The 15,020-nt window shown below is 37.3% G+C and overlaps 1 long non-coding RNA gene across 1 annotated transcript in view; it reads left to right on the forward strand.

Annotated features, from left to right (window-relative positions):
* The first annotated feature begins 1,209 nt into the window (after positions 1 to 1,209).
* LOC101928387 (uncharacterized) overlaps positions 1,210 to 15,020 on the forward strand; it is a 120,046-nt gene continuing 106,235 nt past the window's right edge. Inside the window, exons 1-3 of the long non-coding RNA XR_007063236.1 lie at positions 1,210 to 1,558; positions 6,512 to 6,545; positions 8,586 to 8,673. This is a non-coding gene — a long non-coding RNA (uncharacterized LOC101928387). The remainder of the gene's footprint in view (positions 1,559 to 6,511; positions 6,546 to 8,585; positions 8,674 to 15,020) is intronic.

Consider the following 15,020-nt stretch of genomic DNA (forward strand, 5'->3'; position numbering starts at 1 on the left):
GCACCACCACACCCAGCTAATTTAGTATTTTTAGTAGAGACAGGGTTTCTCCATGTTGGTGAGGCTGGTCTCGAACTCCCGAATTCAGGAGATCCACCCACCTTGGCTTCCCAAAGTGCAGGGATTACAGGTGTGAGCCACTGCACCTGGCCTGTATTTTTAGTAGAGACGGGCTTTCACCATGTTGATCAGGCTGGTCTCGAACTCCTGACCTCAAGTGATGCACCCACCTCAGCCTCTCAAAGTGCTGGGATTACAGGCGTAAGCCACTGCACCAGGCAAATATGTATTTTGGATGTGTATTTTTGGATTAGATCAGTGATACCAGCCAGTATGGTATGGTCTCTCAAGGATATTTGCAGATATGTGGGGGCAATTTTGGTTGTCTTAATACCTAAAAGTGCAACTGGGGCTTAGTTTTCTGGCACCAAGGATGCTGGGTGACTTGCACCTGTCCCACCTTAAATGCCAATAGGGCTTGGACTTTATCAGAAAATGAGACTAATTATGTTTTTGTAAATGCCTGTTTATTTAACATAGCCCAGACCTTAATAAGCTCTTTTTGATAGAATAAAGAGCTTTCATTTTCACATTTAAATTTTGTTCATATAAAATTTTTTCGATAACTCTAAGTAGTTCAATTAGGCAGGAACATCTGAGTTACTTACTTTTGAACTTACTGTGTTTTGTTTGAAAATCATGTAATTTGGGAGGACTCTGGAACTGTTGTGTAAGATTTCACTGCATGAAATACAAGTTGAGCAGTTTTAGTCACACTAAAAATGAAACTGGGTGACAGATCATTCCCACTGTACTTTCTTACCTTCAAAAGATTTTCTGTGAAACTTAGAGGCACTTGCTCTCTTATCATATGCTGTGTTAGAGCGGTGTGGTTGGCCAGTAATTGAGTAACAATGCCAGATTGGCATTTTTCATCAGGAGGTGCAGTCTTGTTTTATTTATCATCATATTTCCTCATTAAGTTTAATTTTCTTTTTCTTTTCTTTCTTTTTTTGAGATGGAGTTTCACTCTTGTTGCCCAGGCTGGTGTGCAATGGCGCGATCTTGGCTCACCGCAACCTCCGCTTCCCGGGTTCAAGCGATTCTTCTGCCTCAGCTTCCTGAGTAGCTGGGATTAAAGACACCCGCCACCACGCCCAGCTAATTTTGTATTTTAAGTAGAGACGGGGTTTCACCATATTGACCAGGCTGGTCTCAAACTCCCGACCTCAGGTGATCTGCCCACCTCGGCCTCCCAAAGTGCTGAGATTACAGGCGTGAGCCACCGTGCCCAGCCAAGTTTAATTTTTACACCAATGATTCATTTCTGCTTTTACAGGTGATTACTTTATCTCACTAGAAAAAAAAAATGTAAAAATCTAAACAAAAAGTGTCCAAAACTTACAATAAGCCTTAATCTCGAATAATTACCATGACATGTGTTACTTGTGTGCTTATTGCTGTACAGCCTTCTTTGGCTTTCTGACAAGAGCAACTGCTGAGCAGAAGCACTTCAGCCTCGTCTGGCATTTGATGAATTTGATTAATGTGTGCTATGGTAAGTCTATTCCCCTGTATAATTTTATGGGAGAGGCCATGTGCAAGTCTGAATTTAAAAAAAAGAAAAGAAAAAGCCTTGTGCAGAATTATTACCTACTCAATACATTATATATATGCCAGAGATGGCTAAAGCAGCTATATGTCAAGGTCTGCAAAAACATGAAGAAGCTGGCATGGAAATTAACACGTTGGTGGTCTGCAATGTGTTCAAAGTTGGTGTTTTTAATGACACTTAAAAATAGTTAAAATATGTAATGGCTGATTTCTGACCAGACTAAACTCTCAGCCTGTCTAATGTTAGGCAGCTTGATCTAATCAATCTCATCCTTTTCTTTTCCTCAGTCCAATCTTGCAATTGCTATGTCAGTTTCAGTTCACAATAATACCAGTGCAGACATGGCTCCTTAAGATTTTCTCCTTTTCCCTCACGCGGGTCCCAATTCTAAATTCCCAAGGGCTGACATGATTGACATTTGCCATAGCCTGAGGAGGGAGCATTTCCTTTTGTGGTCTTTCCTTGGTTTGTTTTATTGGGCAGTGAATGGCAAGTCTGTCTGTGTTTCTTTGCTTCACCCCAAACACCTTGGCAAAAATGAAAGCCTTCTAATTTAGCTGTGTCCTCCTTTACTTATGTCAGGAAGCCTGAGCCATAACCTTTGATTAAAAAAATTTTTTTTTGTTTTTTGTTTTTGAGACAGGGTCTTGCTCTGTCACCCAGGCTGAAATGCAGTGGCACGACTGCAGCTCATTGCAGCCTTGACCTCACTGGAGTGTAGTGGCATGACTGCAGCTCACTGCAGTCCCAAGTAGCTGGCACTTACAGGCAGGTGCCACCATGCCTGGCTAATTTTTAAATTTTTTGTAGAAACAGGGTCTTGCTGGCTGGGCACGGTGGCTCACACCTGTAATCCCAGCACTTTGGGAGGCCAAAGCGGGCGGGTCACGAGGTCAGGAGTTTGAGACCAGCCTGGCCAACATGGTGAAATCCTGTTTCCACTAAAAATACCAAAAAAAAAAAAAAAAAAAAAAAAAAAATTAGCTGGGCGTGGTGGCGTATGCCTGTAATCCCAGCTACTCTGGAGGCTGAGTCAGGATAATTGCTTAAACCCGAGAGGCAGAGGTTGCAGTGAGCCAAGATCATGCCACTGCACTCCAGCCTGGGTGACAGAGCAAGATTACGTCTTGAAAAAAACCCCAAAACAAAAAACAAACGAAAAAACCCAGGATCTTGCTATGTCGCCCAGGCTGGTCTCAAACTCTTGGGCTCAAGCAGTGCTCCTGCCTCAGCCTCCCAAAGTGTTAGGATTACAGGTGTGAGCCACTGCACCTGGCCTTTTAAAAATTTTTTAAATTTAAATTTTTGTGAATACATAGTAGGTACATATGTATGGGGTACATGAGATAGTTTGATAAAGGCATACAATGCATAATGATCACATTATTATGATTATGTAAATGAGGTATCTATCACTTCAATACATTTCTTGTTTGTGTTATAAACAATCCAATTATACGCTTTAGTTATTTTTAAATGTACAGTTAAATTATTGACTACAGTCACCCTGTTGTGCTATAATAAATACTAGATCTTATTCATTCTTTCTATTTTTTTGTACCTACTAACCATTCCCACTTCCTCCCCAGTCTCCCCCACTACCCTTCCTAGCCTCTGGTAACCATCATTTACCCTGTTCTACTCTGTATCTCCATGAGTTTAATTGTTTTAATTTTTAGCTTCCACAAATAAGTGAGAAGGCAAAGTTTGTCTTTCTGTATCTGGCTTATTTCACTTAACATAATGACCTCCAGTTCCATCCACACTGTTGCAAATGACAGTATCTTGTTCTTATTTTATGGCAGAATAGTACACCATTGTGTATAAGTACCATATTTTCTTTATCCATTCATCTGTTCACAGACACTTTGGTTGTTTCCAAATCTTGTGAATAGTGCTGCAGTAAACATGCAAATGCAGATCTCTCTTTGATATACTGATTTGCTTTTTTTTTGAGACAGCATCTTGCTCCACTGCCTAGGCTCCTGGAGTGCAGTGGTGTGATCATGGTTCACTCAGGCCTCAACCTTATGGGCTCATGCAATCCTCCTGCCTCAGCCTCCCAAGTAGATGGGATTATAGGTGCGCAGCACCATGCCCAGCTAATTTTTATATTTTTTGTAGAGATGAGGTTTTGGCATGTTGCTCAGACTGGTATTGAACTCCCGAGCTCAAGCGATTCTCCTGCCTTGGTCTCCTACAGTGGTGGGATTAGAGGCATGAGCCACTGCGCCCGACTGGAATTTCCTTTCCTTTGGATAGAAAACTAGCAGTGGGATTGCTGGATCATATGGTAGCTCTATTTTTAGTTTTTTGAGGAGCCTCCGAACTGTTCTCCCCAGTGATTATACTAATTTACCTTCCCACCACCTGTGTACAAGGGTTCTCTTTTCTCCACATCTTTGCCAGCATTTGCGATTGCCTGTCTTTTGGATAAAAGCCATTTTAACTGGAGTGAGATGATATCTCATCGTAGTTTTGATTTGCATTATCTGGTGATAATGATGTTGAGCACTTTTTCATGTATCTGTATGCCTTTTGTATGTCTTTTGAGAAATGTTGATTCTGATATTTTGCCAATTTTTAATCGGATTATTAGATTTTTTCTTATAGAGTTGTTAGAGCTCCTTATATATTCTGGATATTGATCCCTTGTCACGTGAGTAGTTGAAAATATTTTCTTCTATTCTGTGGGTTGTCTCTTCACTTTTTGTTGATTGTTTCCTTTGCTGTGCAGAAGCTTTCTAACTTGATGTGATCCCATATGCCCATTTCTGCTTTGGTTTCCTGTACTTATGAGGTATTATTCAAGAAATCTTTGCCCAGACTGATGTCCTGGAGAGTTTCCCAATGTTCTCTCTCTCTTTATTGTTATTATTATTATACATAATAGTATTTAAAATATTTTCTTTTAGTAGTTTCATAGTTTGAGATCTTAGATTTCAGTCTTTAATCCACTTTGATTTGATTTTTGTATATGGAGAAAGATAGGGGCCTAATTTCATTCTTTTGGGTATAAAAATCCAGTTTTCCCTGCACCATTTATTGAGGAGACTGCCACTTCCCCAGTGTTTGTTCTTGGCACTTTGTCAAAAATGAGTTCACTGTAGACGTACGGATTTGTTTTGGGGTTCGCTGTTCTGTCCTACTGGTCTATGTGTCTGTCTGTTTTTATGCCAGTACAATGCTGTTTTGGTTACTATAGCTCTATAGAAGTCAGGTAATGTGATTCTTCCAGTTTTATTCTTTTTGCTTAAAATTTTCTGTTTTTTTTTGTTTGTTTTTGTTGGTCTTTTTTTTTTTGTGGTTCCATATAAATTTTAGGATTGTTTTACCTTTTTTTCCCTCTTTTTGAGACTGGGACTCACTCTGTCACCCAGGCTGGAGTGCAGTGGCATGATCTCGGCTCACTGCAACCTCTGCCTCCTGGGCTCAGGTGATCCTCCCACCTCAGCCTTCCAAATAGCTGGGACTACAGGCCTGTGCCACCATACCCAGCTAATTTTTGTAATTTTTTTTTAGTAGAAAGGAGGTTTTACCATGTTTCCCACGTTGAAATTTGGGATTGTTTTTTTCTTTTTCTGTGAAGAACGTCATTGGTATTTTGATAGAGATTGCATTGAGTCTGTAGATTGCTTGGGTAGTGTGGACTTTTTAACAATATTGATTCTTCCAATCTATGAAGATGGAATATCTTTACATTTTTTGATGTCCTCTTCAATTTCTTGCATCAGTGTTTTATAGTTTTCATTATAGAGATCTTTCATTTCTTTGGTTAATTCCTAAGTATTTAATTTTATTTGTGGCTATTGTAAATGGGATTACTTTCTTGATTTCTTTTTCAGATTTCACTATTGGCATATAGAAATGCTACCGATTTTGGTATGTTGATTTTGTTTCCTGTAACTTTATTGAATTTATTTAATAGTTTTTTGGTTGAGTCTTTAGGTTTTTCCAAATATAAGGTCATATCATCTGCAAACAAGGGTAATTTGACTTCTTCCGTTCAATTTGGATGATCTTTATTTATTTCTCTTGTCTGATACCTCCAGTGCTATGTCGAATAACAGAGGTGAAAGTGGGCATCCTTGTCATGTTCCAGATCTTAGAGAAAAGGCTTTCAGTCTTTCCCCATTCAATATGATAATAGCTGTGGGTCTGTCATATATGGCTTTTATTATGTTGAGATATGTTCCTTCTATATCCAGTTATTTGAGGGTTTTATCATGACGGGATGTTGAATTTTATCAAATGCTTTTTCAACATCAGTTGAAAGTAATCACATGGTTTTTGTCTTTCAATCTGTTGATATGATATATCCCATTGATTGATTTCTATATGTTGAACTATCCTTGAATCTCTGGAGTAAATCACACTTGTTCATGATGAATGGTCTTTTGAATGTGTTGTTGAATTAGTATTTTGTTGACGATTTTCACATCAATATCAGGGATATTGACCTATAGTTTTCCTTTTAAATGTGTAATTGTCTGGTGTTGGTATCGGGGTAATACTGGCCTTGTGGCATGAGCTTGGAAGTATTCCTTCCTTCTTTATTTTTTGGAATAGTTTGAGTAGGATTGAAGTTAATTCTTCTTTTTTTTTTCTCCCCTCCCTGTCCCTCACCAATCCTCTGCCCTACTCCGATGTTAATTCTTCTTTAAATGTTTGGTAAAATTCAGTAGTGAAGCCATCGGGCCCAGGTCTTTTCTTTGCTGAGAGACCTTTTATTATGAATTGCTTCAATCTCATTACTCGTTATTGGTCTGTTCAGGTTTTGGGTTTCTTCATGGTTTAATCATGGTAGGTTGTAAGTATCTAGGAATTTATAAATTTCTTCTAGATTTTCCTATTTATTTATTTTTAATTATTTATCAATTTTTTTTATTTCCACAGGTTTTTGGGGAACAGGTGACATTTGGTTACATGAGTAAGTTCTTTAGTGGTGATTTGTGAGATTTTGGTGCACCCATCACCCGAACGTATACACTGAACCCAATTTGTAGTCTTTTATTCCTCACCCGCTTTCCACCCTTTCCTCCTGAGTCCCCAAAGTTCACTGTGTTATTCTTACACCTTTGCATCCTCATAACTTAGCTCTCACTTGTGAGTGAGAATGTATGATGTTTAGTTTTCCATTCCCGAGTTACTTCACTTAGATTAATAGTCTCCAATCTATCCAGGTTGCTATGAATGCTGTTAATTTGTTCCTTTTTATGGTTGAGTAGTATTCCATTGTGTATATATATATACACCACAGTTTCTTTATCCATGCTAAAAATGTGTGTGCCAATCAATGAAAAATTTGTAGCTGAAAAAGACTACAAAAACAAGAGCTCAGGCCCTCTTGCCTCCCCCTCCGCCCAAAACAATGAGAACTTACAATTTAAACTCACAAAGCTTATGAAACCTATTACTAATGAGACAGGAAACATAGAGAATCTTGAGAAAAACATAGCTCAAGGTAGAAAAGGCCTTACTTTCATACATAATATTAATCCTGGCAATAGAAGGGGAACAAAAGATTGCAGCACTAAAATTAAGAGAAAATCCAACATGAAATTAAACTTTATTAAATAAATAAATCAAGATAATGAGGAAAAGTTTATTGGTACCCCTTTCAGTAATACCAGATAGTTTATTTTTTTGAGAATAACTAGAAAACTAGACAGAGTGAAAAGAAAGTATGCTTGGCTGGGCCTGGTTGCTCACACTTGTTAATCTCAGCACTTTGGGAGGCTAAGGCAGGCAGATCACTTGAGGTCAAGAGTTCCAGACCAGCCTGGCCAACATGGCGAAACCCCATGTCTACTAAAAATACAAAAATTAGCTGGGTATGGTGGTGCATGCCTGTATTTCCAGCTACTCAGGAGACAGAGGCATGAGAATCGGCTGAACCCAAGACGTGGAGGTTGCAGTGAGCCCAGATCACGCCACTGCACTCCAGCCTGAGTAATGGAGTGAGACTCTGTCTAAAAAAAAAAAAAAAAAAAGGAAAAGAAAGTATGCTGGATAGCAATGGAGAGCTAATGAGGCAGTAAAGGAATTATGGGACCAAGATTCAGGAAAAGGAAATTCAAAGAGCTGAACCCAACATTGCAACATTGGGAAATATTTTTTCCCTGAAAGCATCAGTGGATTCCAGAAGGGACAGCTGAGAGGCTAAACAGAGAATGGACTCTCTTGTGAGGGTGGTGGGACACAAATTGCAGTCCAGATCCACTGAGGGGGATGCCCCCGGAAGCTTTGAGTTAGAGCCTAAAGAGCTACACAGGAAGACTAAGGTCCAACCAGAAGTGGAACAGTTCTCGTAGAGAATGAAGCCCAGGTTTTAATAATCTCAATTTCTGATAAATTAATGTGATTAGGTATTGCTATTGTCCATAGCCTTATGTCTATGGCAAATGTAAAATTTTCTTTGGGGGAAGATAAAATTATTTTAAGTCTTAAATAATTTTTGCAGTTTTGTACATATACAATGTTTTGCACTTAATCACAAATAACTGGTAGACGCACAGAAGGCAAGACAATGTGAGTGAGAAACAAGAGAAGCAATAGACAATATCACTGGGCTCACAGGGGATTCATATAATGGATGTACATATTTAATATACATATTTAAAACTATGGTAATTATGCTAAATAAGTAAAAGACAATTCAAGAACTTTGACAGAAAGCTGAAAAATATTTAAAAAGAACAAAATAGAAAATCTAGAAATAAAAAAATAACCGAAATTAAGAACTTAATCGATGGATTTAGTAACAAATTAATTATAGCTGAAGAGGAAATTAGTAAATTATAAGGTAAGTCAGAAACAATTACCCAGAATTATGTACAGAAGGAATAAAAGATGGAAAAATGTGTATGAACAAAAGATACATAAGGAATAAAAAGATACATAAGGAATACAGTGAGATGATGTAACATGAATATTCTCTTTCTCTTTTCCATTTCGCTATTACATACAGTTGTCCTGAAGCTAGGAACTTATCCACAGGGCAAAAATTGGAGAATGCTTCTCTAACACAGTTGAAAGAATGATCCAGTGAGAATTAGGTTAGTTAATATTTATGCTAACCCCTTTTTAATAAGTCGTCTGTAATTAGATAAGTGTTAAGTATTTAAAGAAAATTCATAAAAAATTAGAAGTGATATGCTTATCCTAATGTGAGTGAGAATCTTTTTTCCTTTAGGTGCACAGGTAAGGCTTCTGTGCAACGAAAGTAAAAGAAACAAAATGGCAAATATATGTAATAAATGATTAAGACCTAATATAAAAATATTTATGGAGAAAAATATTAAGGAAAGCATTAAGTTAATGGAAAAATGGACAATGGTTATGGTAGTAGAGAAAGATTCCATAAAACAACTTACAAATATTAATCTAAAATTTAAAAATTGGTAAAAAAACCAAACTAAGAATGATATAAACAAAAATGAGGAATTCAATATTGACAAGATGTTGGAGACACTGGCAATATTCCCTTTTTCTGGAGGCACTGTAAATCCCTTCACTCTTTTTCAAAAGTGACTTGGCAATAAATAATGAACCACAGAATTGTAGATTTTTTTCCCTCCAGTAATCATAATTCTAATAATTTTTCCTGTAGTTATAATTGCAAGGAACAAATAAGCTATGTTTAGAGAGATTATCTTAACATCTCTATTTATTATAGGAAGAGAACCTATATTAATAAGGGAGAAAATAAAGCAATTTGCATTTTTCTAATTTAACTATTTTGCAATCATGAGAAAAATTAGTTATAAAGAATGAGAGTATATGTGTATGTATATAGCAAAATAATGTTAAAAGTTTTATCAACAAATACTGTTTATGTAAAACAAGTTCTTTCTTTATCCCAGGGTGTCTGGGATTCTTTGGTGTGGTTTCTTAGGAAAAGGGCCCTGTAAATAAAAGTGGCAAGTTGTCTGACAGCCATATACATTGCATATAAAGATGGGACAGAGGTAGGATAACCACACTGGACAATCCTGTTTAAAAGGGGTAAGAAAGGAGGCAAGTAGCTGTTATTGGTCTATAGCAGTTTTGAAATCAAGCTGGGCACATGTCACCATTTCTACTTACTCTGGGAAGAGGGAATACTCACTCATTCTTGCTCCTTTAGAGTGGTTCCCTGTGGCTCTTGGGTCTTCCTTCAGAGTTGTGGGTCAAACTTCTGAGTCACACTTACTTTTTCATTAAGAAATGGCTTGTGCTTGCATCTGAGTAGCATTCTCAGCTTGATTTCTTTTTGAGATCTCTTTTTCATTTTGAACTGTCTTTGACCCATTTAGCCTAAGCTTTTGAAAAACTTTGTAGGCTTCCTGTATATCAAGTTGTGATCTGCTGCTTTAGACAAAAACCACAGCTCAGGCATCTCATCAGCAGAAAATTATCTCACTGCAGGAAAGAAACTTATTGGCACTTTTGGGACCAGATGCCTATTCCTTGGCCAATTATTGTAATTAAGGGATCAGGTACTTTGTCCATCTTGAGTCCTACAACCTCCTTTTTGTCCAAGGCATGGGCCCCTTGATTGAAAAGCACTACAGATACACATGGAGTGTAGGAGGAAGGTACAATTTGCAAAATGAAATGGATATGGGGAAATTAAATTAATAAATGTACATAATTTTAAGCATGGTTGGACTCAGGCCATGCCTTGTGGCATAAGAGCTGGATTTCTACTTACAGCTGCATAAATTGTTCACCCTAAAATAACACCCTGCCTCGTCAGTGAATGGGGGCTGATGTCCAGCCTGTGCCTTGCATATTAAAACATAGCATGCCTATAATCCTCCCAGAAGTGTCCCTTTAACTGATACCCACAAATGTCCCATAGTAGCCCTGAATGAAGAACCTCTGAGACCTCTCTTCTGTGTCAGTTTAGTGTATGGTGTAATATAAGAGTTTGATTTTATTCTTTTGCATATATATATGTATATCGTTTCCCAACACCATTCATTGAGGAAACTATCTTTTTTCATTGTTTATTATTGGCACCTTTGATGTGATTTCAATCTTCTTAAATTTGTTAAGACTTGTTTTGTGGCCTAATATGTAACCTATCCTGGAGAATGTTCAATGTGCCCTTGCAAAGAATGTTCTGTATATGTCTATTAGATTCAGTTGGTCTATAGTGTTGGTCATGTCTGCTATTTCTTTATTGATTTTTTTTTTTGGTATGGATAATATATCCAATGTTGAAAGTGAGGTATTGAAATTCCTCTGTTTACACTGTTATTGTATTGCTGCCTATTTCTCCCTTCAGTTCTGATAATGTTTGTTTAATATATTTGAGTGTTGTGGTGTTGGGTGCATATGTGTTTACAGTTATTATATTCACTTGATGAAATGATGCCTTTATTGTTACATAATACTCTTCTGTGTCTCTTGTAGCAGTATTTGTGTGTCTCTTGCAGCAGTATTTGACTTAAAGTCTATTTTGTCTGATAAAAATATAGCCACACCTACTCTTTTTGGGTTACCATTTGCATGTAATATCTCTTTCATCTCTCACTTTCAGTCTATGTTTGTGTCCCCTTGAAGTTAAAGTAAGTCTCTTGTAGGCAACATATAGTTGAATATTTTTCTTCAATCCATTCAGCCAATTAAAAGTACTTTTACATTTAAAGTACTTATTGGTAGGTAAGGACTTACTATTGTCATTTTGTTAATTGTTTTCTGACTTTTGTAGTCCCTTTCTTAATCTTTTACTGTCTTCCTTTGTGATTTGATAATTTTTTTTGTAGTGTTATGCATTTATTCTTTTTTCTTTATCTTTTCTGTATCTATTACAGGTTTTTTCTTTGTGATTACCATGAAGCTTACATAAAACACTTGTAGTTTTTTTTTTTTTACCATTTATTTTAGGTTCACAGGTACATATGCAGGTTTTTTTATATAGGTAAACTCATGTTACAGGGTACAGATTATTTTATCACTCAGGTTCTCAGCCTAGTACTCAATAGTTATTTTTTGTTGCTGTTGTTCTTCTCCCTCCTACTACCCTTCACTCTTAAATAGGCTCCAGTATCTTTTGTTACACTCTTAGTGTCCATATGTTCTAATCATTTAGCTCCCACTTATAAATGAGAACATGCAGCATTTGTTTTTCTGTTTCTGCATTAGTTTGCTAAGGACAGTGACCTCCAGCTCCATCCATGTTCCAGCAAAGGACATGATCTCATTCATTTTTATGGCTGTGCAGTACTCTATGGTGTATAGGTACCACATTTTCTTTATCCAGCCTACCATTGATGGGCATTTAGGTTGATTCCATATCTTCGCTATTGTGAATAGTGCTGCGATGAACATACGCGTGCATGTGTCTTTATGATAGAATGATTTATATTCCTTTGGGTATATACCCAGCAATGGGATTGCTGGGTCAAATGGTATTTCTGGTTTTAGCTCTTTGAGGACTCACCACACTGCTTTCCACAATAGTCGAACTAATTTACACTCCTACCAACAGTGTGTAAGCATTCCTTTTTCTCTGCCACCTTGCCAGCGTCTGTTATTTTTTACTTTTTAGTAATAGCCATTCTGACTGATGTGAGACAGTATCTCATTGTGGTTTTGATTTGTATTTCTGTAAGTGATATTGGACTCTTTTTCATATGCTAGTTGGCCACATTTATGTCCTCTTTTGAAAAGTGTCTGCTTACATCCTTTGCTCACTTTTTAATATGGTTGTTTGTTTTTTCTTTTAAATTTGTTTAAGTTCCTTACAGATGCTGGACATTAGACCTTTGTCAAATGCATAGTTTTCAAATATTTTCTGTCATTCTATAGGTTGTCTGTTTACTCTGTTGATTGTTTCTTTTGCTGTGAAGAAGCTCTTAAGTTTAATTAGGTCCCGTTTGTCAATTTTTGTTTTCATTGCAATTGGTTTTGGCATCTTCATCATGAAATCTTTGCCAGGGTCTATGCTCAGACTAGTATTTCCTAGGTTATCTTCCAGGGTTTTTATAGTTTTGTGTTTTATGTCTAAGTCTTTACTCCATCTAGAATTGATACATCTTATGGTGTAAGAAAGGGGCCCATTTCAATCTTCTGCATATGGTTAGCCTGTTATCCAAGCACTGTTTATTGAATATGGAGTCCTTTCCCCATTGCTTCTTTTTGTCAACTTTGTCAAAGATCAGATGATTGTAGGTGTGCAACATTATTTCTGGGCTCTCTGTTTTGTCCCTCTGGGCTACGTGTCTGTTTTTGTACCAGTACCATATGGTTTTCGTTACTATATTTTGTAGTGTAGTTTGAAGCTAGGTAACATAATGCCTTCAGCCTGGTTCTTTTTGCTTAGGATTGCCTTGGGTATTCAGGCTCTTTTTTTGGTTCCATATGAATTTTAAAATATATGTATTTTTCTAGTTCTGTGAAGAATGTCATTGGTAGTTTGATAGGTATAACATTTTTGCTATAGACAGTATGGCCATTTTAATGATACTGATTCTCCCTATCCTTGAGCATGGAATGTTTTTCCATTTGTTAGTGTAATCTCTGATTTCTTTTAGCAGTATTTTGTAATTCTCATTGTAGAGATCTTTCAACTCCCTGGTTAGCTGTACTCTTAGGTATTTTATTCTTTTTGTGGCTATTGTGAATGGGGCTGTTTTCTTGATTTGGCTCTTACCTTGGTCATTGTTGGTGTATAGAAGTACTACTGATTTTTGTACATTGGTTTTGTATCCTCAAACTTTGCAGAAGTTGTTTATGAGACCAAAGAACTTTTGGGCAGAGACTATGGGGTTTTTTACATGTAGAATCATTTTGACTGCAAACAGAGATAGTTTGACTTCCTGTCTTCCTGTTTGGATGCCTTTTCTTTCTTTCTTTCTTTCTTTCTTTTTTTTTTTTAATTTGGCTTAAACATTTAGAGGCTTTATTTTGCCAGTTATTTCTGGAAGTGGTTTAAAAAAACACTTCAACAGGCATACGTTTTCATTGCCACTCTTCCCTTCCCCCCAAATTCTTGTGCTTTTCTTCTGAACCATTATCTTCTCCTTTTTTTTTCTTTTTTTTTAAATTTTATTATTACTATACTTTAAGTTTTAGGGTACATGTGCACAATGTGCAGGTTTGTTACATATGTGTACATGTGTCATGTTGGTGTGCTGCACCCATTAACTCATCATTTAGCATTAGGTTTATCTCCTAATGCTATCCCTCCCCGCTCCCCCGACCCCACAACAGTCCCCGGTGTGTGATGTTCCCCTTCCCGTGTCCATGTGTTCTCATTGTTCAGTTCCCACCTATGAATGAGAACATGTGGTGTTTGGTTTTTTGTCCTTGCGATAGTTTGCTGAGAATGATGGTTTCCAGTTTCATCCATGTCCCTACAAAGGACATGAACTCATCCTTTTTTATGGCTGCATAGTATTCCATGGTGTATATGTGCCACATTTTCTTAATCCAGTCTATCACTGTTGGACATTTGGGTTGGTTCCAAGTCTTTGCTATTGTGAATAGTGCTGCAATAAACATACGTGTGCATGTGTCTTTATAGCGGCATGATTTATAATCCTTTGGGTATATACCCAGTAATGGGATGGCTGGGTCAAATGGTATTTCTAGTTCTAGATCCCTGAGGAATCGCCACACTGACTTCCACAATGGTTGAACTAGTTTACAGTCCCACCAACAGTGTAAAAGTGTTCCTATTTCTCCACATCCTCTCCAGCACCTGTTGTTTCCTGACTTTTTAATGATCACCATTCTAACTGGTGTGAGATGGTATCTCCTTGTGGTTTTCATTTGCATTTCTCTGATGGTCAGTGATGATGAGCATTTTTTTCATGTGTCTTTTGGCTGCATAAATGTCTTCTTTTGAGAAGTGTCTGTTCATATCCTTCGCCCACTTTTTGATGGGGTTGTTTGTTTTTTTCTTGTAAATTTGTTTGAGTTCATTGTAGATTCTGGATATTAGCCCTTTGTCAGACGAGCAGGTTGCAAAAATTTTCTCCCATTCTGTAGGTTGCCTGTTCACTCTGATGGTAGTTTCTTTTGCTGTGCAGAAGCTCTTTAGTTTAATTAGATCCCATTTGTCAATTTTGGCTTCTGTTGCCATTGCTTTTGGTGTTTTAGACATGAAGTCCTTGCCCATGCCTATAGTCCTTAGTGACCTACAAAGAGATTTAGACTCCCACACAATAATAATGGGAGACTTTAACACCCCACTGTCAACATTAGACAGATCAGCGAGACAGAAAGTTAACAAGGATACCCAGGAACTGAACTCAGCTCTGCACCAAGCAGACCTAATAGACATCTACAGAACTCTCCACCCCAAATCAACAGAATATATATTCTTTTCAGCACCACACCACACCTACTCCAAAATTGACCACATAGTTGGAAGTAAAGCACTCCTCAGCAAATGTAAAAGAACAGAAAT

Source organism: Homo sapiens, chromosome 12 (assembly GCF_000001405.40).
Source record: "Homo sapiens chromosome 12, GRCh38.p14 Primary Assembly".
NCBI lineage: Eukaryota > Metazoa > Chordata > Mammalia > Primates > Hominidae > Homo > Homo sapiens.